We start from the raw sequence: 27,402 nt of genomic DNA, 5'->3' as shown, positions 1-27,402 counted from the left end.
TTGTTCCTTGGCCTCAATTTTCCCATTGGAAAGGGGATTTTTGGAAACATATCTTAAAACTCTTGAGCTGAAGAAGCTATATCAATGAAAAATGTGTTGTTTAAACACAACAATAACTTTTCCGTGGTATGCAGCATTATATTTATACACCATAAGTTGAGAAAAGCCTTGAAAGTAACACAAATACCATGAAGCCTGTTTTATAATTCCTGACTCCCAGAAACCCTGAGATGTATTCACAGCCTGTAGTCACCCTCCAGAACCCAAGCAGGACCTTGGAACTTCACTCCATATACCACTCCAAAGCAAGTTTTCTGCTCCAGTGTGATGAGAAATGTGATGTTCACTGAAATGCACCGTGAGTCTGGAGAACTACTGTTCAGCCACCTTGGGCATGGCATCTAAATGTACAGTATCGAGAGTGTGATAGCCTTCCCTGGAAACAAGAACTAAGGTCCATAAATCAAATCTCAAGTCAAGAGAAGAAAGCCGTCAAGGAAGGCGAAGGCATTATAACTGGCCTGTAGTGTCCAGCTGTATTGATACCACAGAGCTTTGGAGCCAATTCAAGACTGGTCAACCCCAAAGTGGGAAATTAAGTTTCAGGGCTGCCAGACATCCCTGTTTGCAGATGTAAATGTAAGTGATAGGATAGGTGGTCTTCAAAATAACCATGCTACCATGAAGGTCAGAGTCCCCAGCACAAATGTGAGGCCGGGGATAAGGTTCAGCACTTTTGGAGATGGCATTAATTTGTAGCCCCTAAAAGCACTTTAGCTCCTCTCAAAGTGTAGCTTACATATTGCAAGGATCTGAGTATAATATACCTTAATTAACAGTGCTGATCATGTTCCTTCCTTATTTGCAGAACACTTTACATTCACGGGTGTTGACTCAGGGGATCATTTGGCTTTTTTTTTTTTTTTTTTTTTTTTTAAGTATCAGATACATAGCAGTTTACATCATTGGATTTTATCCCCTGGTTTAGATCCAAAGACATTATTGGCCAGTCTTAATGCTTGCTTGTTAGTAATACTGTTATGAAATAAAAGCTTCTGTTGCAGAAGCTTCCTTAATAGATAAAACAAAGGCCTTTAACCAGTACGTTACTTAGAGAATATTAATGAAATAGTTAAAAAATGAGGGGAAAATGATGAATGCTTTAAAAATACTGGCCTTTTCACCTTAATAATGTGTCAGAACCACTTATTTTCTACAACACATGTCTCAAATTTGCTGGCATTTCAAATTCTTAGGAGTTAATTTTCTATGTTTGAATCTTTAAAAAGAAACATACAAATGTAGGATGAATACATTCAGAGGGTTTAGTGCATGCTTTGGCTAGCAATTCAATAAAGATGACTTGGAAGGATCAAAGCAAAGATTTCCATAAAATTGAATATGAGATATTTCAGCAACATCAATGCTATACCTCTTCAGGACACTTGTATGCATGTCCACAGTACTACCTAGCATTTACTTAATGCCACTAGAACAAAAAAGATAAATTTTGTTGAGGCTAATAGATTTTTAAAAAATTGTTTTAAAGTCCTTTTAGAGTACCAGGAAAATCTGACTCAAAGGCAAACAGCAAACAGAAATGACTTAATGGAAATCAGACAATAAGCCTAAGGAAAAAAAATAGGGTTGGAACCTAAAATAAATTCAATATATAACACCTTTCCATTTTGTTCCCTTTCCTTTTTGTTTTTCATGAGAATCTATATGGAAAAGTCAGTTGATTGCTTATCAGGCTGAAGCCTGTGTTTGCTCAGACTAGCGATAATGAGCAATAAAAAGGTGGTAATGGTTAAAGTGAGAGGAGAGGGAATCAGGGAAAATGGGTGGGCTCAGTATAGTTTGCAGGCTCTGAGTTTTGGAAGCCCTGTAATTCTCCCTTGTGCTGTTATGTTCATTGGAGGGGAGTTAAGATCAGGATCTGTAATGAGTGTGGGGGCTTTCCAGGCAGTGGTCTGATGGCTGCACAAAAGAACTCCCAGTGATTACCTAGTTACATCCCTACAGTCAGCTTGGCAAGTAATCTTAAAGCCTTGCTCCTGAACCAGCAGCATGAGCATCACCCAAAAGCTTATTAGAAATGTAGATGCTCAGGCCTGATACCAGAGTGCCTGGATATGAATCTGCATTTTAACAAGATCTTCAGGTGATTGGCATACACATTCATATTTGAGAGACACTGACTGAAGGAACACATGGACACAAGATGTGAGGACACATACAGTGTGGGGTGCAGTAGTAGGGTTATCCTAGGAAAAGAAGGAGCAGACTTTTTAGCTAGTGAGCTAACTCATTATAGGCATGTACAGATGTTTGTTAGTAGTTTATCTTTCAAGTTGTAAAGCAATCAGAGTGTCTCAGGGAAGTCATTACATGGACCTTTACAAGCCTGTGACTCTGAGCTTGTGACTCTGTGTCATAGGAAGCCAGTACTTGCGTAAGAGCCCCAAGGCCATGTGGGCAAATGGAGCTGAGATAAGAAAGCCTGATAATATGAAGAGTGATCCTAATCTCAGTGGCCTTTGGGATTATGGTTATCACCAGGTTTTAGAGCTTTGACTCTGGTAAACAAAGATTCTGCCCTTGGTTTCCAACACATACTTATTATTGAAATGATTTATTATTTTACTGAAGCATCTTGTTTCCAAAATGAACCACCTTAGCCTCCTGAAATAGCTCTACTGTGTCCCTTGACTTTAAAAGGCAAATGAGGACTTATGCCATTAACCCTGCAGAGTTATGATGAATGGCAGAACTAGATAGGGCCATGAAGATGGCAGGATAAAAAGATGCCTGTCTTCGGAGCACCTCTTTTGAATGGCATCTCCAAGTCTTCATCCAAAGACTAGATTGGTTCTTGTCTCCATTTTCCCATTTGGAGCTGCCATTTTTCCATAGCAGCCAAGCCCACTAGGTGGTATTAGAAATGTCAAATGCTTGTTCCCTGGTGCCACAAAGAAATAGCACTTGAACATTAATTTTCTCAGTAAGGCAATTTTTACTTTCTGCAGAAAGGGTGCTCCTCGCAGATGGAACACGGCCAGAGCACACCTGAACAAAGGAGGGAAGCAATTTTTTTTTTAAGATGAAGTTTCGCTCTTGTCCCCCAGGCTGGAGTGCAATGGCGCAATCTCGGCTCACTACAACCTCCACCTCCCAGGTTCAAGCAATTCTCCTGACTCAGCCTCCCAAGTAGCTGGGATTACAGGTGCCTGCCACCACGCCTGGGTAATTTTTGTATTTTTAGTAGAGACGGGATTTGACCATGTTGGCCAGGCTTGTCTCGAACTCCTGACCTCAGGTGATCCGCCCACCTCAGCCTCCCAAAGTGCTGGGATTACAGGCATGACCCACGTGCCTGGCCGAGGGAAGCAATTTTTATCCCTTACGCAGCTTGTCCCTGCTACTGTGTCCTGTCTCCATTGGCTGGAGCCAGACCGCACAATCTAAGCTAAACCCGACTGGCTATTTCAAAGAGAGCAGGGATATGAGCCAGAGTGGTGGGGTGAGTAGTTTGGCAGGAAGGACAGTTAGGAACAGGTAACTAAGGGTGACTTAGGTCAGAGCAGGTGACTAGGATGAGTCAGGATGGAGCAGGTGACCAGAGGTGACTCAGGTCAAAGCTGGTGTTGGGGAAGAGTCAGGATGGAGCAGGTGACCAGGGGAACAGATGTGAGCTAGTGATTAGGACTGGAAGGAAAGTTGTTTACTGAAACTAGAAGCAAGAAGGCAAAGAGAACCAGGAAGTTAAACTTTAAATGGAGAATCAAAGAATAAGACAGCTGAACATACTGACATATTGATTCTTTGAAGAGAAGCTTGGGGTTCACTATATTTAACAGTGGTATGTAAATAAACTGTTTTCCCCCTGGCATAGTTGCCTCTATCAGTGGAGGGTGAGGCTGCAGATAAATCCTCTGCCACTTCACCTTTTATGCCAAAGTCTAAAGGCAATAAATACCAAGTTAGAGAAACATTGACTAGAAATGGTGATATCACAGTAATCACAAATCTGTTCTTGTCCTTGCAACTTTTTGACATAATGATCTCAGTTGGCCAGGTACAATGGCTCATGCCTGTAATCCCAGCACTTTGGTAAGCTGAGACGGGAGGATCACTTGAGCCCAGGAACTTGAGACCAGCCTAGGCAACATAATGAGACCCCCATCTCTAAAAAAAAAAAATATTCAAAAATTTCGCTGGGCATGGTGGCACATGCCTGTCATCTCAGCTACTCGGGAGGCTGAGGTGGGAGGATTGCTTGAGCCCAGGATGTCGAGGCTGCAGTGAACCATGATCATGCTATACTACACTCTAGTCTAGGTGACAGAGTAAGACCATGTCTCCAAAACAAACAAACAAACAAAAAACCTCAATCCTGTGTGGCAGATGGGAGACCTCAGGAGACCTCTGTAAACTGCATCCATGCCGTAGACCCCGCATCCAAGCAGTGCTGCATCCACCAGCCTTAGGAAAGTGGATCAGAAAGGAAATGTCTCAGTGATCCTAGACACTAACTTTGACAAGGAAAGACCACCCATAGTGGAAGTGGTTGGAAGGTGAGCCTTCAAATTCAAGTACCCCAGTTATTTCATTAGGGGCCAAAGAGAATTCTTTTTTCCTATTTTCTACTAGGGTGCATTTAATCTGTATTAGTAATGCCACAGAGAACATTTACTGTCATATAAGCAAAGACCTTGCAAATGTATTTTAACAGCAGTTCAGAAGACTAAAGAACTTAACAGAGAAGTAGAGAAGAGAGAGCCTGCAAAGTCTACTGTAAAAGTAAAACGTGCTAGTTTTGGCATCAATTTAACCACATTGGAGACTTGGTCAGGAGCACTGAGGCTTGACCACATTATCCAAACACATCTGCTTGCCTTATCATATTGTCCCATTTACTTTTCTTTTTCTTCTGCCAGCACAAACTTGTGTCAGCATGTGGAAGTGGTATTTCTGCTACCTAATCTGTGTTAAAACAGCCCTGAAGGGTCATGCAACTAGTCGGATTGTAAACCTTTGGAGAAGATTAAACAGTCATCATGTATTAATCAGTCTTGACCACGTTGTGAATTAAAAGGTGAAATTCTTGGCCTTATTCTAAAAGATGACAGGTCTAGATGTTAGAGATAAGCATTGTTTTTATATTAGTCAGTATTTCTATGTAGCCAGTTATGTTTCCAGAGTAGTGAGAATTATTCTAAGAAGAAAAAAGTATTTTCAGTATAAACTAAACAAGAGAAAAATGGAAGTTTAATACACATCTGCAGTGAACATGAACATAGGAAAACGTGAAAACGTGAGCATAGTGAAGTTTGAAGTGGGAGAGAACCTTTTCTGAACTGGGTTGCTTTGCTCACAGGCCAGGTAGGAGAGAGCAGGGGAGGAGGTTTTACTGGACCCAAGCGCCTTGTAAGAATTTTCCAAAAACATTAAGTAAAATTTAGTTAGTTGTGAAGTAGAAAGTTAGCACTTCTATGTCTTCAAGGAATCCGGTTATAGTCATAACACAGAAAAACCAATCATCCCTCCCATAGTAGTTGAAAGATAAAATTGACATCTTCTTGAAAGAGAAAAGCTACTATTTTATGAGCTTAGAAGAAAAAAAATTCTTCAACTTTATGATATGCTATTTGAGCTCTGTGAGTATTCAAATATATGTACTTACAGAATCTCAGTGTTGCAAATGGAAAATAATGATGCTGTCTTCAAAATGACCCCCCAAAAAAAATCAGAGAAAGGGTTCAAGTGCTGCTGAAGTAGCAGCCTCTGGAATTAAAGGAAGTGATTGCCAGGCCGGGGAAGTGAAGCAAACAGAATAGTCCTGAACAGAAGACAGCCGCTGCCCTCACTTCCTTATGCACTGTGCTGTTCAGCCCAGGCACTTACTGTTTCTCTAAGTGTGATGCAGAAACTAGCTTGACCAGGGTTTAAGATAATGGTAACCCTCACAGGTTTTGCGGTGCTCCACTTTCTGCAAATGATCAAACTTCACTGTCAAAGAAATCCAGATTCTCTTAGAATCCTAGCAGAGTGTGATATTTGACTTTTTTGGGTTTCTAAATTTTGTTTTCATTTCTTTGATGCAGTAGATGTATGGCCCATGGTGCTTTTAAATTCTCTGCAGTCTAAAGTAAATGACAGGGAAGAAAACAAATATTCTCTGGACCCCATTAATGAAAGACAAAGGGACAGCGAGGGTCCTTTAGAAAAGGGTATTAAAAATGATATATGCCTGTAAAAGGTCGGGGAGGGATCTCATGGGAAGAAATAAAGTGCAATAGAGTAATGAAGAAGAAAAACGGTAATGCTGAATGTCCTTTAAAAGATACTTTATTTTTCAAAGAAGTGTCCAGAATTCTAACTTATATAAACACTAGAATATTGATCAGTTATGGTAGCAGACTTTGGTGCACAATTCTCAGACTGACACATGATTTGGTTAGCAGGTAACAGCTGTAAAGGATGTAAGAAATAATTATCTGAGATTCCCTATGCAAAGTCTTAAAAAAAATTCTACACCAATTTCTGTATCTCAAATGAAGAGGGCATACAAAGAGACAAAATGCCTGATGGTTCCCCAGGATACTGTCCCAGCAGCAGGGACAGAGTCCTTAGATAACATGGAGAAGAAAATGAATGGGCACTACCAATGTATTTGCCAAGATATGACATGTGCTTCTGCACATGAGACTTCATAACTGGATAAATAAAGCATCTTAAAGAACTTACGTTCTTTTTCTTCCCTAGATACCCATTCATGTGTAAAATGTTACCGAGTTCACGCTATTTTTTGTTTGTTTGTTTGTTTGTTTGTTTTGAGATGGAGTCCCATTCTGTCGCCCAGGCTGGAGTGCAGTGGCGTGATCTCAGCTCACTGCAACCTCCACCTCCCAGGTTCAAATGATTCTCCTGCCTCAGCCTCCTGAGTAGCTGGGATTACAGGTGCACGCCACCACGCCCAGCTAATTTTTGTATCTTTAGTAGAGATGGGGTTGCGCCATGTTGGCCAGGCTGGTCTCGATCTCCTGACCTCAGGTGATCAGCTCACCTCAGCTTCCCAAAGTGCTGGGATTACAGGTGTGAGCCACTGCACCCGGCCTGCTCTAACTATTAATTAGTCTTTGAACTTGTAATGACAATAATGCGAACTTAGTACTGACAGAATGAACTTGTGTGAGTGACCTCTTAGTATAGGAACATGTACAGTGTTTAACACTTTATTATGTCATGTTAGTATGTGGTTGCTTCCTTTCAGAACATTGCTTTCAAGTGTTATTGAATGTTAGTAAACATGAAAAAAATAAATAAGAATTTTGGTGATTCTTACCCCTCTTACCTCTAGGGTTTCTGAAAACTGACACAGTAGGTTTAGATAAAGATGTGTGGTGTTAATTTGAATCTGCCATACTTTGAATTTAGAATGCACTGGACACGTTGATATCACCAATTAGCATTCTGTGTAGCCAGGCTAGCATGTGATTCAACTGTTGTGTTTACCCTCCACCCCAACACCCATCACCGCTGATCTACATGAATGTTATCAAGCATTTGCAGCCTGAAAAAGACATGATGTAGATTTGACTCCTGTAGTTTCTTCCAAATAGTATCAAGTGCGGCAGAACAATATCCCCCGTAAGTCACTTACATTGTCATCTTAATATTATCATGATTGTGAATTCTGTTGTCTTGAGATGGATCGAGAACTTTGACATCAGTTCAGTATTGCTAATGGAATATATTATTTACACAAGACTTTTTCCTGTCTGCATTCAGCCATGTAGAAATATACTACCATCTTAAGTGCCAGAAGATGCTGATCCGAAGTAGAAGTTGTTGGCAGGTATTGGTGCCAGTTAGATGAGAATAAACTGCCAAGGAAGACACTGGAGTGAAAAAAGATAGTTTGGGCCAAGTTTTTTTCCCTCTCTCTCTCACTCTTGAAATAGGTATCTAACATGCATATACACAACATCAGTCTATAGGAAATATGAGGGATGCTTGATTACAAGCAAACAGGGACATGTGGGGCCAAACTCTGCCCCCAGCCCCTATCTTGCCATATATGTTTCTAGTAGAGATGAAAGTGACATGTGGGAATGATGGGGGGATTCATGTCTTCTAGACTTCACAGTATGAAAGGGACCAGGCCTTCCCAGGAGGAATGGCCAGAAACTGAAGCTATAGCCAGAAATCAAGGGATCTTTTGTGAACACCTAAAGCAGGAGTTTATCCAGGGATAGAGATCTCCAAATGGTGGAAGCAACATACAGGCAGGGGACAGAAAACAGCCTCCATGCTGTGCAAGCATAAGTTTGTACTGATGGCAGAGCCTAGTTTGGTTTGCATTTACCGTAATTTTTACTCATCTACTTTTAAAGTGGTATTTGAAGTGATTGTGAATCAAAGGCATGATAATGCATACTTTTCCCAATTTAAAATATACTGTTTTATATATGTAACTACATGCCTTGAAAATAATGAGTATTTGAATCCTATCACATTTTTTGGAAAAAATATCAGACTGAGCATATAAAGATCAATCTTTTACATAACCAACCAGTGGAAGAAAAGGGGTTTTGTAAAACGTATGCAGTTTAGCGCAAGAAAATAAGAAAAAAAGAACTTGCAATGAAAGGAAAACGAACAGAAAATAGTGAGATGAGAAAATTCCCAAGTACATTTACTCAATAAACTAAAACTTTACTTTAACCAGACAAAAGCAAAATGCATTCTATATCTCCTGTGAGTTTAAGATACACTGGGAAGAAAAATTGGCATGACTCATGACTTAAATAATTAAAATTTTATATAAAAACCAAGAGGTTAACAAAAAGTTCAGGCCAGAAGTAAAATAATAATTAAATGTAAAGTATCTGAACTGCAAAAATCCTGAAAAATAATTTCCACCACTGATGGAAATGGTTTTAACCATTCTAGTGGTGAAGATCAAGTTGTTGAAGGAAATCCATCAGTTATTATGTATATTTTAGTGTGATTTGAAGGGGATTACAGGAGTAAAATTAAAGAAAGTACACACACACACACACACACACACACACGCACAGAATTATTAAAATGTATTGCACTGAAGGACAAGTTAACCATACTAGAATCTAGGGAGCCATTTCTCAGGAGTACAACCTAAGAAGCAGGATGGAAGCTCTGCACACTGCCCAGTACAGCTGCAGAGGCAAGAGGATTCTTACAAGTCATGACTATCAATGATTTGTTTTGTTCTCAGATTGCAAAACAAGGAAAATGCTTTCATAGCACGTCAGATTATGTGCCTACTCAATAGTCTATAGATCTTTAGCAACCTTAGAATTAGGAATATGTGACATATACTTCAGAAGGAAAGCTACAAAAACAAAAATTACAGAATCAAACCAGGATTGCCTCCAACTTTAGGAAGCAGGACCACCGTATAAAGCTTGCCCAGATCGTCACAGCTAAAAGCCTGTTGAGAAAAGTTGTCTAGGGCCAAAGAAATAAATATTGTCTAGGCTTGAACTCTAGCACTGCCATTTTGGGGACATTGGGTTGTGGTAGATAAGAAGAATAGGGTGTAGATGTCTGAAATTATCTTCTATATAATGGAGAAAAATTTGCTTGATTGCAAACACACAATTGAAAATATTTTCTTAGTTGCTATGAATTACTTCCAGTGAAAAATATGCCAACTCCAATAATTTATTTACAAAAAAAGGATATTTGTAACAAACAAGCAAAGGCAAAGAAGGAAAAGAAAACTCTAGAAAATACATAGGAAACAGCATGGTAATAGGGTGCCCCTGTTGTGGAATAGGCCAGGGGTATTGCAGGGTGAAAGGTTCAAGATGATGATGGTGATGGTGACAAGGTGATGGTCAAGCAGGACTTTAGTTTTGTCTAAAATGTTTATTTTATTTATTTATTTTATCATTAGAAGGTTGCCATGTATTATTTGTATATTTAATATAAGTACACAAAGAGTAGCTACTAAGAAGTACATTCTAACAAATGTATAATGAGTTTAAGGACAGATAAAAAAATTTCAAACTTTTGTTGAAGGCAAAAACACATCTAATTGAAATTCTGTTCCTCTGAGCAGAACGATCTTCAAGACATATGTAAAATAATAGGGCTAGAAGTACCTTGGAAAACATGGACCTGAAAATAATTCATTATCCCAGCACACTGAGGTGGCTCCACGTGAGTCTGTCATCTCAGGACAGAAAGTGGTGTTGTGTCCTGGCAGTCCAAGTTGAGGACACCCACTGCTCATAAAAAAAATATGAAATTAAATATTCAGCAATAAATTGTTTTGAGGAAGACAAAATGCTTTTAAAGGATCAACAAATACCTATCATTGCAAAAAAAACTCAAACCAATGAGCCCATACAGATGGATCAGAGGCATAATATTCATGTGTAAAGTATTTGGTCCAAGTTTTTTTTGTGTGTTTTGTTTTGTTTTGTTTTGTTTTGCTTTGTTTTTGAGATGGAGTCTTGCTCTGTAGCCAGGCTGGAGTGCAGTGGCGTGATCTCAGCTTACTGCAACCTCCGCCTCCCGGGTTCAAGCGATTCCCCTGCCTCAGCCTCCCAAGTAGCTGAGATTACAGGCATGCGCCACCACACCCAGCTAATTTTTTGTATTTTAGTAGAGACGAGGTTTCACCATGTTGGCCAAGATGGTCTTGATCTCCTGACCTCATGATCCGCCCGCCTCGGCCTCCCAAAGTGCTGGGATTATAGGCATGAGACACCGCACCTGGCCTGTTCCAAGTTTTTAGGAGCAGATGAAGCTGTTAAACTTTTTGTTTGTGCCACCTGTCTATATTAATTCTCTGTATTTTCCCCATATGCTTACTTGCATACTTATATGGTTATTCTCTGTGTATTTCCTGTTTCTTTTCTCTCTTTTTTTCTAAATGTATTGAAATTTCTGAGAAGATGAAAATACCACCTTTATGGCTACTCCTAATGGCAATAAGCGTAGTCACCAACATTTATTTAATGTTGGCTCTTTGTTCAATTAATCTTTGTGGCAACTGTAAAGGCACAAGTTACTTTATCTCCATTTGGGGGTTAAATCTGTTGAAACTCTGAAGAAGAAAGGAATTTGTCTCTAGGTCATGCAACTGGAAACCCTGGACTTGAACCCCTAGCACTGATATATCCTAGGGGTTCTAGTTCAGATTAGACTGATGCTAGAACCCCTGACCTGGTCTCCACAGACCCCTCAACACTGCTTCACGTGCAGAGCAGGAAGCACCAGGACATCCTTCCTAAGTGGTGTTAAGAACTTGATCTGATGAAGTATCCATGTGTCTTTGAGTAAGTCATTTAACTTCTCTGGAAGAACAGCTTCTTTACAAAGTAAGGTCACATGCCTCTTAGTTCACACATCCTTCCCAGTTCTAACTTTTCTGTGATTGTATTTTCTTTTACTGCCCTATTCTCAAGAAATGTATTTATTATGAACACATGCTGCAGTTTCCCTGTTGGTGGGTCTCTATGTGTGCATGCATGTGTGCATGTGTGTGTAACTGTTGCGAACACTTACCTTCTAACTGCTGTTGGAGCTGCTTCCAGCTAAGTAGGTGTTCCAAATACCAGGCTGCTCTTATTATGGACTTGGTTTAAAGGAACGCCTATTCTTTTTTTCACACATGCTAATACAATGTCCATCTTTCCTCTCCTAATAGCCCATGAGTCTTGAACTTGGAGTCAGCAAAGTGCTGCCTTTGTACAGCACAAAAGAACACCAGTTTTGCTTTTTTTTTTTTTTTTTTTTTTTTTTTTAAGAAATCACACGGGGACTGAATAAAAAGCTTTTCGACCATTCAGAGGCTGCTTGCATTGTGCAGCTGTTCCTTGACTGCTGAGAACATCTCCCGCGGACAATGCAGTACCTGAAGAGAACACGGCACATGGAGCTATTCAAGAGTTGCAGGACCTGGGACTGGTGCCAGTGTCCTCTGTGGAAGATCGGGGGCCTTTCTTCTTGGTCAGACCCTGATAAGCATATTGCAGTTTGTGGCAGTTGTTGTTTTTTGTTGTTTGCCTGCCAGCATTAGTTTCACAATTTTATTGCAATGATGCATTCCCAACATGCTGGCACTTAGGGGATTTTGTTCTTTCCTCTTTTGGTCCCACCTCCGTGAAATGTACAGTGAGACTTTGATTGGTCATAGTCCACTTACAGTTCGCAATGCGTTACTGTGTGGACTGAGTTCCCATGACTCGGGCTCCCCAGGACAATGTCTCTTTCTTCACCAAGCTGATGGTAAATATCTGGTTAGCTTCATCTATTTAAAACCAGCCAAGCAGGAATCCTAGTGCTGGAGAGAGGATTCTTTTTTTTTTTGTTTGTAAGTAAACAATGGACTCAGTTCTTCCTAACTAAAATTAAATTCCAATCACTCTTAAAATAATACCAGAAGGCTAATCCAATTCCAACAGGGGGTGGGAATGGGGTTGAGGGTGGCGGTGGGCGGTTAATAATGGCAAATTTACTGATGCTGGCTGCTGCTTCACCTCTGTGCCCAACATCTGTTTTCATGACTGATGATTCTAAGAACTTTCCTATGCAAAGGAAATTATTATGTTACTTGTAGTTAGAAAGAACTGGCTGAACTAAAAGCCATGTGGGCATCTTTATCTGAAACCATTTCCTTTTGAGTCAGTAGAATTGAGTTGACTGAGTTATTTGGGGGTTGGTATTTAATTTTTTAAGCATTTTAAAAATGCCTAAAAACTAAAAGGCTACGCAAAATGACCAGCATATCTTCTTGCTTTAGAATGGCATAAAAGACTTCTGCTTTAAGCAGTCTCAGTATATGAAAATCTGAATTGTTGAAAAATCAAGAGAGTAGGTGTAATCTGTTTTACAAAATCATTTATAGGAGCAGTCTCTGGAGCAGAAGCTCCACACCTGCAGTTATAACATGACCTATATAATAGCTGGACATTTGTTGAAAGTGCTGCCTCTTTCAACATCCCCCTCAGCTCAGTCTTAGCCTGTTTTTCAAGGTGTGTCAGGACCGCATGGAATTAGTAGGACATCTATTATAAATGGTGATTCTTTGTGGGTCCCCTTGAACCTTAGCTGATAGGATAGGACAGTTAGCATAACTGTGGTATTACCTTGATCACAGTTTCTAATCATTCAAACTCCAAAGATCACATACTTATTAGGAACTCCTGCTGCTTACTCATACATGCTTACTGCAACCTCCTCATGCCACCATGCATTTTGCTCATCACTGCAGTTTCTATTTATCTCCACCCAAATCCTTTCTGTCCTCTTCCCCTAACCAGCTGCAAACACAATTTTGTGTTGTGCAGGACTTGCAGTTCTGCATCCCACTTTCTACCCAGCTTCTCTGTTTCTCCCGCAGGTCAGTGACCTTATTAGTTGGTCTAACTTTGGCCTCCCCATCTGGGTAAAACTCTCCCCACCATCACTCCACTTCCTTCTCCTTCCAGGCTTTTGTGCTGTGTGCTCCTCTCACTGAGCTAGCAGCAGTCCATTGCCAGGCTGCCCTCCTTCCTTCCTTCAGGCCATCCTAGTCACTGCTCCCAACACAATGTTTGTGTATTTCCTGCAAAAGGATATGTATTTGTATTATGCTAAATGCTTTTCTTCCCCAGGCTGAGAGGCCTGATTTATGTATATGCAAGGATGAGTTAGCATCTTTTCTGACATTTCAAATGCTACAAAACCTAAAATTTGAATTTCTTCAGGTACTCTTTTTTGAGTTACTTGTCTGGTCAGATTTCTGTAGTCCTTCTAGACAGTCCTTCTGCAGAAAAGTATAAAGTCTTCATCTGTTCATTCATTCATTCAGTAATAACGTGCCCATTCCTGGGCTAAGCAGCGGGTGTCCAGTGAAAAAAGGGACATGATCCAAGGACTCAAGGAACTCATAGCCTAGCGGGGACAAAAGATCAACCATCCAGTAAACATACAAGCTCATTTCCCACTACAGCTTCTGGTCACTAGTATGAAAGGAGAGAACGGGGTACATTAAAAAGAGCAGTGTGGTGAGGAGGGGCTATCAGGAACCCACATAGATGATGATTTGGTCAAAGAAGCTCTGTCCTAGGCAGTAACATTTAAGCTAAGACCTGAAGGTGGAGAAGCCAGCCAGGAGCAGTGAGGGGAAGACTTCACTGGGGAGAGGGAGCGGAGTGTGCTCCAGGATATTTGAGGACTCAAAAGACAGGCTGGAATGTGGTGGAGAAGGAGGCATGAGCTCTCCGGAGCTGAGCATCAGAGTTGTGAGCCATGTAGATGTGGAGTCTGTGTGTTGTTATAAGTGCAGTGGGAAGCACTGAAGGTGAGTGACATGGTCTGATTTATGCTGCACACATGTGAATTTCAGCAAAACAAAATGGTGGCAGCAAAGACAGGGAAGGGAAGGAATTCTAGTTAAATTTAGGAAGAATCAATAAGGCTTGCTGAGATAAAGCCATAGGATCCAGTAGATAGTCTGATTGCCTTTTTGAAAGTAGTTTTGGTGAAGTTACAGAAGGAAGAAAAAGATAGTTTTAGAATGAATAAGAGGTTAGGAAGTAAATGTAGGTTGTGCCCACCCTTGGAAGGTGTTTGGCAATGAAGGAAAGGACTTTTCCCTCAAGGGAAGAAAAGGTGGAGAGAAAGGTTCGTTTGGAATAGGGAGACAGGCATATTTAGGGAGTATCAGTGAATTGGGAGAGAATGAAACTACCAGAGAAAGGGCATAGAGATGGCTGCCTTGTGGAGGCTGGAGAGAATGAATTCCCAGCATAGGTGAAGGAGAGGCAGCCATGGACCTAAGTGGAGACTGGAGGGAGTGAAGCCTGGAGGTGTGAGGGATGAAAGGTGAGGGCTGCTGGCCCCAGGACCTTTGTTTGTCCCCTGATAAAGATCCAGGCTTCTGCTTAAAGGGCAAAATAAATTTTGAAGAGAGTAGTAGGGTTTAGCTACCTCAGGATACTGAGAGGTGCTGCTTTCCAGCTAGAGAAAGGAGTGATAAGCAGTTAGCAGCTTTGCTAAATTTGTTTCACAGTCCTTCCAAACAGCTACATACTGTACAATTTTTCTCTGACAGTGCCGCCTCGCTCCAGAGAAAAGTATGCTGATATACTTTGGAAAGATTTTCAATAAAAAGGGCTTTCTAAATAACTTTTAGTTTAACCAGGAAATCATTCAACCAGAACCCCCTTCCCCCAAGTATTCTAGTTAGTCAAAGTTTTACTGAAACATGTCAGCATTGAAAAATGCAAAAGGCAGCTAAGTAGGTCTGACTAAAAAGGTGTAAGAAATCCCACATCTGTGCACAGAGCAGCAGTGTCGAGTCTCTTCAACTGTTAGGCATTTCAAACCTGCCATCTCCAATGCACGACTAGTGGAAAAAAAAAAAAAAAGGAAAAACAAAGAAGGAAATCTATGACATAGAGTAGAAAGCCCATTCAGAGGGTTCCAGGGCACATGTGTGTATTTAGTTGTACAGAGCATTTTGAAATGTTGACTTAGCAATTAACTCAAAGCTTTGCATAGTTTGAATTAACAGTAAAAGATCAAAAGGCCAAAACTTTACCAAATAGATGTGTGATAGGATTTATTTTCAAACAGTCCTGTAAGAATTTCTGCCATGCCTACACAGGGCCAAGTTAAGATGTGTTTGTGATCTCTTGGCAGAGGGGGTGGAGAAACCTGATCCTGCACTTTGTAAATTATAAACTGTTTACACCTGTCATCTCTGTCTGTGTCCCTGTTAATGATACCTTAACAATTGGCTAAGTGTGACAAAATGCTAAGAGCTGGCACTTTCAGAGCAACCACATCCAGAGGGATGTTATTAATGTCCACTGGAGTTTGAGAGAATAACAAAGCACCGTGACATACAGAGGACTTTTTTTTTTCTTTTCCAGTACCGATAAGTCTTTACTGATTCATTGATTTTCCTAGGGAAAAGAGAAGGGAAGGGAAAAGAGTCAGCATGTGTTACAAGATGGTTAGAAAATGGGAAAGGGAGTGTCCAGCACAGCAAAATCAACCATCAAATAAACACACCCCAGTGATGGGGTCACCGAAGCCCAGAGGGGCTCCATCTCCTGCAGTTCAGGACTGGGGGGGAGGGATCAGAAAAAGAACAGGCAGGTTACAGGCTACCCTCTCTCCCTCCCCATAAATTCAAGATTTCACACAAAACTTTGGTTTCTAGCAGTAAACATGGAGTTACATTTGTCTGTCTCCTATTAAACAGTCTTGTGGCCACTTTGACATAAATTTCTTGCACCTGCATAAAAGTATCTCAGTGACTTGGATATACATTCATATTCCCTTTGTTGGCCGCCTGACCCCACTTTCTATACCGAAGGCCCCCAGTTGCTTCTTTCTACTTTAGGATTAAAGATTAAGTAGGCTTGATCCATCCAAAATACAGCAGTGTCTTAAGTGTTTGGCATAAATCACATCAAGAAATGGTGTTGACTCAGGAGGTTGGGAATGTTAGAAATGCTTGTTCCTCGGTGCCACAAAGAAATAGCACTCGAACATAAATTTAATTTCCTCAGCAAGGCAATTTTTACTTCTATAGAAGCGTTTGACTTGTAAATACAGTAATGGTGAGAGCACACTTGAACAAGGGAGGGGAAGGGGTTCTTATTCCTGATGCAGGTGGTCCCTACCTCTGTGTTGTTCCCCTATTGGCTAGGGTTGGACTGCACAGTCTCAGCTAATTCCAGTTGGCTCTTTTAAAGAGAGCAGGGGTATGAGCCAGAGTGGCAGGGTGAGTGGCTTGGTGGGAAGGACAGTTAGGAACAAGTAACTAAAGGTGACTTAGGTTACAGCAGGTGACCAGAGGTGACTCAGGTCAAAGCAGGTGACTGGGATGAGTCAGGACAGAGCAGGTGACCAGGGGAACAGATGTGAACTACTGATTAAAACTGGTGGAAAAGGTTTACTGAAACTAGAAGCAAGGGGGCAAACAGAACCAGGACGTTAAACTTTAAAATGGAGAATCAAAGAATAAGAGGGCTGAACATACTGAAATAATTCAACAAGAACCCCCTTCCCCCAAGTATTCTTTGAAGAGAAACTTGGGAATCACTATATCTAACAGGAGCAAGGGATGGAGGACACCTAGCGTCAAAATTTTACACAAGGACTTTCACCACCAGATTTTGAATGTTTTTAGGAAGGTCCTGGGAAATGTCTCCAGTCGAACAGGAGGGCCTTTACACAAGGTAGATTGGGCCCGGGTGAAACATCCAGAGGGCTCCACGTGCCTCAGAGACACTGCACTACAGGTCCTACAATTCCCAAAAGCTGGAGGGACCAATCTGCAAAGTGCAGCGTTTACTTTGTGTTGTAGTCATTGAGTCATGTCCATCTGACCTGCAGAACTGTGTAGAGATTGCATTTTTTAAAAAAACTTTATTGACCCCTTTTCTCTACTCTGGATCCCCCCAATCCCCACCGCCTCCCCCAACCCCACACTCAACTCTAGTATAGTGCCCTGCACATAGATTAATTGGCACTTATTAAATGTTTAGTGAAGGTAAGATTAGGGAAATGACTATGATCAGAGGGGCAATACACATAGTACTTAAGAATGTGAGCTTCAGAGCCAGTTTGTCCCAGGTTCAAATCCCTGTTCCCCAACTTACTAGTTAGCAGGTGACCTTGGGAAGTCTCCTTATCTGTCAAATGGGGATAATAATGGCATATATCTAAAGCTATTGTGAGGATTAAGTGAGTCATTACACATCAAGAGCTAGGTCTGTGTCTGTCATACAGTAAACACACAATAAAATATTACTTTGCAAAAATAAATTCCTCTTGGGCAGAGAGAGCTTTTTTGAAAATATACCACCTAAAGAAAAGGCAAGCATGTATTTTTGGTCACTGATTAAGAAAGGTAATACAACTTCTGCATTTTCATTGGCCTGTTTTTAAAGGTAAAAATTTTAGATAAATGTGGGGTTTTACCCATCAGAAGTCCAAACAGTTTTAAATAAAACTGTATACAGTTTTATCTTAAAAGCACCCATGAACGCAATATGAGTCTACTTTAAAAATAAGCTTCTAAAATATTTTTTTCTCTTAAAAAAAGCTTACCAGATTCTGTTTCATTTTGGAAACAAATTCACATCTGGGATGCCAGATTTCAATCTTAATACGGTATGGAACAGCTGAGTTATAATTTTTTAACCTCCCAGAACACACAGACCTCTGATGGGAACATGGGAAAGGACATTTATCTTTTCAGCTGCATTAATATGAAATCCGTGATATTTTAGTGAGCTAAGAGAAAATACATATTAAAAATTAAGACCATGCATAACAGGGAGTGCCTACATAACTACAAGACTGGAATTTGCACAATTACTCTCCGTACAGATTATAATGTCTTTTACTAATTACTGGAAGCAATAGTGCCTTTTTATGTTGGCATGAAAGTAATGTAAACACTGAGATATTTCTCTTCTAAGATATTTAACATTTACAACATTTAGTTCAAATGAGTATATCTTCAAGGATATTGAATTATAGCCACTTTCTGATTGGGAAAACAAAATACAACTCTGAAAGAAAAGAGGGAAATGTTGATTATAAAATCGTTCAATTAATGCCTAATTTTTGTTGTTGTTGTTGTCATTATTTTTATTTTTTCTTCTACTTTTATTTTAGGTTCCGAGGGTATACATGCAGGCTTGTTACATGGGTAAATTGTGTGTCATTGAGGCTTGGTATATGAATGATCCCGTCACCCAGGTAGTGAGCATAGTACCCAATAGGTAACCTTCCAACCTATGCTCCTTCCCCCAACCCGCCCTCAAGCAGCCTCCCGTGTTTATTGTTTCCATCTTTGTGTCCATGTGTACTCAGTGTCTGGCTCCTGCTTATAAGTGAGAACATGCAGTATTTGGTTTTCTGTTCCTGTGTTAGTTTGCCTTCAGCTAATGCCTAGTTTTAAACCATAAAACAACTCTTTCTTTCTCTTTCTTTTTTGAAACAGTGTGGATTTGTGGAAATTCTTCATGGTTTTGGAACCATTGAAAACTGAGTTTTAATCCTGCTTCTGATGTTCTCCAGCTGCGTGGTCTTCTTTTTTCCCTCCTTTATTATTATTTTAAATTGTCACATAAAAATTGTACATATTTATGGGATACTGTGTGAAATTTTGATACATGTATACAACGTGTAAGGATCAAATCAGGGTAATTAGCATTTCCATCACCTCAAACATTTACTGTGTTTTTGTGTTAGGAACATTCAAAATCTGCTTTTCTAGCTGTTTGAAAATATACAATAGGTTGTTGTTGTTCATTATAGTCACCCTACAGTGCTATAGAACACTAGGATTAATTCCTCCTATCTAGCTGTACTTTTGTATCTGTTAACCAACCTCTAGCAAGCTCTCCTTCTTCCCATCCTTCCTCACCTCTAGTAATTCAACACTCTCTTATAGCTGTGTCTCAAAATACTAAAATAACTGGTTGGAATATAAAATATTTGGTTAATCCCTATTCACACTAAACAGACTCTTTATTCACACTGGCCAGATTCTTTTTTGGTGTTTGTGTTTTGTTTTCATGCATGAGGTTAATAACACCCTTAGAGACTGTCTGAATGTCCACCCAGTACCAGCAGAGCCTTGGCTTATTATTATGCCAGTTTCACAACTTGAATCCGTTAGTTAATTTAACATGGTCAGAGAAAAACTCATTTGTCTTTTTCATGTGTTTCACAGTCAAAGTGACACAGGGTCAGGCATTATCTGCTGGAAGGGGACGGCGAAATTAAAGTCCCAGGGTACAGCCATTCACAGCGGTAGAACGGATGATTATCAGGCTGGATATAATTATAGAGCCACAGCAGTCCCCCACAATACACTGGCTATCTGCCTAGCACAAAGGTTTAGATCCCTAATTTGTTGCAGGCTAGAATATCTGTGAAGTAGCCATGTATTTTTGTGTACCATCAATCACAACTTAGGCAACTGCTGCTGTTTGCATTTTGGAAGCTTGGCGGCTGTTAAGCTTCTGCCTGCTTTTCAGACAGGAAGATAGGATGCAGGGCTGCAGAAAGGCTTTTAGTGGCAGAATGATGACACCTCTGCCAGGGTCCTATCGCAAGCTCATTAGCTGAGTGGATATTTGAGCGCCTAGTCAGTTTCAATACATACAAAGTCATCTGTTTCATTAAGTTAATTTACCTGAGCTGGCTCTCCTGACAATCAACTGCTTCTGCAGTATCAGCTTGATATTGTAAAGGCGAATGAGGATGGGGCTGGGCAGGAGGCATTGGTCAGCAAGGTACTGGGGTCTGTGGGATTGTACTTCCCTTTAACTGGGCACTTCCAGAAATCCACATTATATTTGTAAGCAAGAAACCTGGCTGGAAGTTTACTAAGGCTTGCTATTTACTTTTAGTTTCAATGAATGAAATTGGGAAATGAGAAGCAAATCGGGTACTATATTAATAATTTAAGAATATTTTTCCAATTGTTAAGGAAGCGAAGAAAGGAAAAGGAAGCAAAAGAAAAGACTGCACATTTGTTGGTTAGTTATTTAAACTCTACTGTTCCTGGAGAGTTCTAAATTGCTTTACAACTAGATTCACCTAAATGATATGACCTACAGGAAATTGTATCTGCAACTTATGTCTTGCAAAAGTTGTTAATTAAGGAAAAACCTGTATTGTTTTCCTTCCTTTGTTTGGTTCTCTAATTCGCATCTTTGTTCTTCTTTTAATATGCATTTGCTTTATGCTTTTTAGATTTGAGTGTTATTAAAATAGTAACACCTGAGTTGGACTTCTGCCTTTAGATTAGTTGGAAGCTGTTAAAATTTAATCTTATCCAAGGTTTTGTGCATCACAGGGTTGACTTTTAACTGAAAGTCGTTACTAACTGTCACGTTATACTGTTAACTCTGACTACGAAGACTAATCATTAGACTCATTAGAACCAACTGGTTTGACAAGAAAAAATAAAAGAATTGTTGAACCACAAAGAATATGTTAGAAAAACATTTGTATACATTTGAGGTTAAACGTACACATTACCGACTTCTTTCTCCCAGCACACAGGACATCAGCTCTTAGGAAGAAGGTGGATAAGAATTTCTTCCTCAACCTCCCTTATACTTTCAACTTTTCATGGCTTATTGGGTATAAAAGATCATTGTTTTGAAAGTGCTTATGTGAGAAATACTTCCATGCAAGTAGAAAAAAGCGCATGTATTTCCTCGTATTGAAGCATTAGGAATAGTTTATTTTATTTTGCAAACCCCAAATCCATTTGTTTAATTTGGCAATATTCGTCTTTTGGCCATGTTTAATTTTCTTTTTCCAACATTTTGAAAGATCCAACTCTATCCATTTTTTAGGGCAGAAATATTCAATTGCTTCTTTTTTTTTAGTTCAGAAAAAAATATATAATGTTAAGTATGACTGTGAAGAATTAACTTGTGTTTGAATTGATATTTTGCTGGAGCTTTAAGTAACAGTTTAAACTTTATTGTCGGGAGTAGACACAATAAATATCATCTTTTCACACCCAGGAGATTCGGGGCCAGCTATATCTTTCTCAGTTCTTATTTCATTGTCCATATAATTGAATAAAATATCTAATGTAATATTAAGGTCACAGATTTAAAAATACAGAACTTGGGGAATGCAAAATTTACTTTTCTCAAGATAACAGTTTTTTCCTCATGCTGGGCATTATATGCACTTAAGCTGTGCCCTCAGCAATGTAACTAGGTCAGGGATTTCATAGAATGTGAAACTGCTGTGTTACTGTAAGAATACCAGCATCTTACATTTCATGTATATTTCAAGACCTGTATTTGCAAGTAGAAAGGCAAATGCTGGGTGTCAGTCTGATGTGCGTTACCTGGGCGTGTATATAGAACAGGAGTTTTGAGCTAGCACTAAGGCCTTTAAAAAAGAAAGCCTAGTGCAATCTATAGTAACTTCTTCAAGGGCGACAGTTCATTATAAAGTGAGCTAAGTAAGTAATATAAGCCCCTTGGAAAAGTTAAAACTTAAAATCTATAGCGTTTTTCTTTCTTATACGACGTATGTGTTTATACTTTATTTTGCAGCTTTTTATTGGTATACCTGTCTACCCCATAATTTGTAAATCCTCTGAGGACAGGGATTGTATTTTAGATCATTCATTGATCCGTTTGTTTACCAATCAAACATTCATTTGCCCTTGCCAGGTTCACTAATGGTGTGGATAGATTAGTAAACAAATAATGTCAATTTGATTGCTATGATAGAGCTCACTCAAGTATTTCGAAAGAAAAAAGAGAGACATTAGTGGTTAGTTGTCAGTGGGAATCAGGGGAGACTTCACAGAGAAGGTGATGTTTGAAGAGTGTCTTAAGAAAAGGGTAGAAATTCACAAGGCAGAAAAGGGAAAGGATAGAAAAGTGGAGTGGGGAGGGGCTGTTAATAGGAAAATGATTGAAAAGAAAAACCATAGTCATGGGAAGAGTAGTTCAAGACACAAAGGATAAAAAAGAAGGGGGGAAAAGGCAAAGGAAGATCCAATAAGAGCCATCCCTCCAAAGCCCTCACCCACCCACCCAAGTCAATCGAAGAGTGAAAAATTCTTAAAACTTTCTGTTAGGGGCAGTTTATTGAAATTCTGGTATATATTCTTAACCTAGGGCAGCTGGCTGCTAGGTGAAAAGATTCCAGAGAGGTTTTTAAATGCTGCTTCCTCCAGCCAGCCTTCATCTTTGTACTGGCCACAGCACCTGAAACAGTTCCTTGCTCATATAGACAATAAATGCTTAATTTGAATTGCTGAAAGTAAATAGAAGTAAAACGGCCCCTCCCTTTGAGGTGTTTGTAATGCAGTTGGGAAGAGAACTACAAGCCAAGTAGATAATGACTTACCACCAATGACTATAGGCTATTCCTCCTTTTTACATTGGCACGGTACTGAAAAATGTGCCCTCTTTTTCCCAAAGGAATAATTTAAGTTTCCACAAAATTTTGGTTAAACACCAAACTGCCGTTACCATCTTCTAAGAAATATAGGCAGCTCCAGTGCAAGACACAGAAGGCTGTGGGTGGGAAGTTTTGAGGACAGGGGGAAATTGGAACTACAGTAGGAAAATGTTTTTAGGAAACAAGGGATGGTATATAGGTATAGGAAACAAGTATACAAAATTCAAAATGCTGAAAGGTGAGGATACTTTGAGTTTCCAGTGAAACTCAAAGGATACAGGAGACTGAGAAGAAAATGGAAGCTTACATTAATTAAATAACTCTTCATGGGCCAGGAGCTCTTTATCCTAATAACAGCTGTACGAAGGGAAAACATCATTATCCCACTTTAGAGCACAGAAACCTGAGCCTTACACAGATTAAATAACCCAAGGCCACTCAGCCACTAATGGAAGGACTAGGGTGGAAGCCCACTAGAATATAAGCTCCATGAAAGCAGAGACCTCTTCTGTTCATGGGGAATACTCAGTGTCGGGAACATGCCTGGCACACAGTAGGTGCTGAATAAATATTTTCTTAAACAACCCAGACTTCAAAGGCCATGTTTACAAAGTGATCAGGGTTGAGTTAGTCACAGAGAAGATAAACTTTTGTCCTTGCTCCAGGAATAAAGAATTGTCTAGATAGGCAAATGGGCAGACATGCAAAATAAATATCAAACTAATGGCAAAAACAAGATAAGAAAAATGAAGAGTTCAGAGATGCCATTGTCTAGATCTTTACCTAAAATACTTGTGCTAGTAGAAAAATGGTTTCCTTGTTTCCTTGTCATTGACCCAATAGCTATAACACAGCATAGAGCATCTGATCCTAACCCCTAAAGAATAAGCTCTAAAAATTGTGTGTGTGTGTGTGTCTGTGTGTGTGTGTGTGTATACATACCCATGTAATTATACACACATTCTATAGGAGGTTAGGAACCTATGAAAATAAATGGTTATGTTGAAAGATGTCTTTAACCCTAAGTGTAGCATTTGCTAGTGGAAACTCTGTAATTACTGTAATGTTTTTGGTGGTGACTGTTCATGATTTTTTTTTTTTAAAGGTCTGACAGCTGCCCTCTTGATATTTATGTGTTTCTTGCTAGGGAACCTAAGATTCACAACCCGAGCTTGTAATGAGGAAAAGAAGACAATACAAATAACTTGAAAAGGAGTATGAACTGGATATGGTCAGAGAGACAAATCACATGTTCCATGCTGCTTTAATTGGAAAACAATTCTTTCATGGGGTTACTTTCCCTTCAGCTGAGATAATTAAGTCTGGACTGACACTGGTGACCAGCTACTGATGATAAATAGTCAGTTACTAACAATGCAGCAATCAGTAATCAAAATTTATATTTCCCAGGTTACCAGGGCACAGTTGAAGAGAAAAGTGGGTTTGATAAGGCTGGGAGATAGGCTTCCTCGTGCAGTATTCACATGGCTTCTTCTCCACAGCATCTGGGTGGGATCATTAGGTCTGCTTTATTTCAACCTTGTCATAAAAGAAAACATACCTATTGTCTGTGTTTGCATTAGAAATACTTTGCACGCCCCATGCTGGAAAAGAAGTTTCTGTATGCCTCCCTGTAATTTTTAATGGATTAAATTATATTCTGTAAGTGGGTTGGCATGAGGGTAGGTTTCAATGTCCAGTTGTTATTGGACATGAAATAAACTTAGATATTTTTAAAGCCACTCCATGCAGCTGGCACAAGTAAAGGTTTTTGAATCATGGCTAATTATCCCTGGCTGTGGCTGAAGGCATTGAAATGAAAGGGATTAGGATTGTAATATGGATGCCATTTGTATTTGTATCAGCGGCTCCGATATTTGTCTACTCACTAGAATCACCTGGGGTTCTACTAAAATTTTTCACAGCCCAGGTCACACCCAAGCCACTTAAGTCAAAATCTCTGGGTATGGAACACAGACATCTTTAATTTTTGAAGCTCTCTAGGTGATTCCAATGTGCAGGCAAGTTTGGAAAGCACTGGTCTATACTCAGTTTTATGCATATTTTTGCATAAAAATATGAAACTGCTGTCTAGGCCGGGTGCAGTGGCTCATGCATGTAATCCCAACACTTTGGGAGACTGAGGCGGGTGGATCACTTGAGCCCAGGAGTTCGAGACCGGCCTCGGCAACATGATGAAATCCCGTCTCTACAAAAAATACAAAAATTAGCTGGGCATGGTGGCGCGTGCCTGTAGTCTCAGACTCGGGAGGCTGAGGCAGGAGAATCGCTTGAACCCGAGAGGTGGAGGTTGCAGTGAGCAGAGATTGCATCACTGCACTTCAGCCTGGGCAGCAGAGCAAGACCCTGTCTCAAAAAGAAAAGAAACTGCTGTCTCCCACCCCAGTAAGACCTTAAACCCCAAGAGAAAAAGCATAATGTGACCCACCCGGTGAGAAAAGCAACCTCAAAGTGGTCAAAATAGACTCAGCTCTGAGGAGAAGGAGAACCAAAAAAGGAGGAAACATGCCTTTGCTCCTTTCTTAGTGCTTAGCTCAGTGTTAGTTGAATAAATGAATAAAAAGAGAAAAGAGGAGGTGGTCATGTGCAGCTCAGTTCCCAGAAAGGGTACTGGGATGGGATGGAGGAAACTCATTGACCACATCCTTGCACAGTGGGCACCTCTCCACACTGCCCTCCTCGCTCTCCTGATGAATTCTTTCTTTTCTCTCTAGTTTAGTCAATCTCCTGTCTTCTCTGGGAGCAGTCATTCTGAGATGGTCGAAGATGACTGTCTCAGGGGAGGACACTCATTCAGCTTTTAAAATGTCAGGTGTCCTTTGGGGATGCTTCAAAAGCAGCATTTGGGCTTCCTTTGCCATAGGAAATGAACAGGAAGAAAGGCCAGTGAAGACAGAGAACAAGGGGGCAGGTGCCTGCCCAGAAATCAACGTGCAGATAGAGAAGGGAGAAAAAAAAAAGTTCCCATCTGCAGTACTGGAATCCCACTTATGGAGCATAAAATAAAAAATATGAAGGTTATTTGCTTTGAGCTCATCTGATTCTTTGTGTTAGACTGCACTGTGGCCTGCCTTTCTGAGTTTGCTACATTTTTATTTGAAAGCTAATAAATTAGCCATTCATATGGCACGCAGGCGGGTTTATAGTGCTGTGTAAACCACCAGCCACCATATACATCCATCTGCATCACAGATCGACTAGAATTATCACTACTGACACCACAATGCCTATAAATTCCCTCACCCGCATCCTGTATTCCAGAATATTTCTATTGGCTGACCATACTGCGAAGAGACGGGATCCTGGGAAAAATCCTTTTTTCTTTCTAGTTTAGTGGGAACTGGCAGGTTATCAGTAGGTCTAAGCTCTAGGTTTGCCTCTAGAGACAAAGAGTTTAAAAAATAGTAACTAGTTTTATTTTGTTCTAAAAAAACACATGCACAAGAAAAATATTGTCAATAAAACATAAAAATGTACAACATAAAAAGTGAGTTTCTTACCCAAATCTGACCTCCTACACCTCCTCCCTCAGAGACACTGTTACTAGTTGCTTATATATGAGAACTGCAATATTCACGACACTTTAAAAAATCAGTCAATCTTGGCTTGTATTTCAAGTTTCATTAACAAAAAACAGCCCCCTTTACAATCACTGGGGTACTGAATGCACTGATATTTAAAAATACCCAAAGCTATTTGGATCAAAATCAACAAATATTTAATAAGTACCTTCAATGTGCACAATGTTGCCTAAACAAGCCATTTCTAATGAGGATTTTACACATATATGTTTCATACTTTTTTTCTGGTGTATAACAACTAATCTAAAATTATGTTAGTGAAAGGGTAGTCAGTCTTTGTTTTAAATGTTTTTCTCAGAAACAAAAATGATCTCTTTCTCTCCCTCACCCCTCTAACTTCTCAGCCTTTCACACATTCTCTCATTTGAGTTCTGTTTTACGCCGAGACATCTGGGTAGGTGGTATGTTCTGGCCAGAGTACTCTCTCTCATACCTTCCCCAGATGGATTGGCTCAAGGATCTAATATTCCCCAAAGAAATAAAACATCCCCCAACTGGCCATTGAAGAAGAGCTGCAGTGCTTTCTATTCTAAACACACATGTGTTGAAGGATGAGAGACGGTCATGACAGAGCCAGTGTCCCCACCCATGACTTGTCTGCAGAGGGGGAGACTTCCAGTCTGTAGCCCACTGCAGGATACTAGGCTGACTGCACAGCCCCGTTACCCCTCAAACTCCAGCCAGCTACATCTGTATGTCTTCTCTCCAGCTGGCTGGCCCAGCTGTTCTGGTGTCAAAGAAAGTTATGAGTCACTGGGAAGGGCTTTGAGACAAGAGTAGAGTTAAACCATCTCCTGGGGTCTGTGTGTCATTGGCAATCGAGCCTTAGTAACAA

The 27,402-nt window shown here is 40.1% G+C and overlaps 1 protein-coding gene across 7 annotated transcripts in view, besides 2 other annotated features; it reads left to right on the top strand.

Moving 5' to 3' along the window:
• The window catches only part of SEMA6A (semaphorin 6A), a 131,269-nt gene that overhangs the window by 26,153 nt on the left and 77,714 nt on the right, over positions 1-27,402 (top strand). Inside the window, exon 1 of one of the 7 annotated variants that reach the window (XM_017009675.2) lies at positions 938-12,288. The exons of the other annotated variants lie outside the window; for them this stretch is intronic. The gene's annotated coding sequence lies outside the window, so the exon portion shown is untranslated. Of the gene's footprint in view, positions 1-937; positions 12,289-27,402 lie in introns of those variants that run through there. 7 annotated transcript variants of the gene reach the window in all.
• Positions 24,700-25,272: an enhancer, noted in NCBI's record as "H3K4me1 hESC enhancer chr5:115859095-115859667 (GRCh37/hg19 assembly coordinates)". NCBI's record gives its function as "activates a minimal SCP1, AML or CMV promoter by ChIP-STARR-seq in primed H9 embryonic stem cells {active_cell/tissue: H9 hESC(primed)}" and the evidence as "EXISTENCE:reporter gene assay evidence [ECO:0000049][PMID:30033119]".
• Positions 25,273-25,847: an enhancer, noted in NCBI's record as "H3K4me1 hESC enhancer chr5:115858520-115859094 (GRCh37/hg19 assembly coordinates)". NCBI's record gives its function as "activates a minimal SCP1, AML or CMV promoter by ChIP-STARR-seq in primed H9 embryonic stem cells {active_cell/tissue: H9 hESC(primed)}" and the evidence as "EXISTENCE:reporter gene assay evidence [ECO:0000049][PMID:30033119]".

This window comes from Homo sapiens, chromosome 5 (assembly GCF_000001405.40).
Source record: "Homo sapiens chromosome 5, GRCh38.p14 Primary Assembly".
Taxonomy (NCBI): domain Eukaryota; kingdom Metazoa; phylum Chordata; class Mammalia; order Primates; family Hominidae; genus Homo; species Homo sapiens.
The sequence above is the reverse complement of the archived record's forward strand: the minus strand, read 5'-3'. Positions and strand labels throughout refer to the sequence as shown.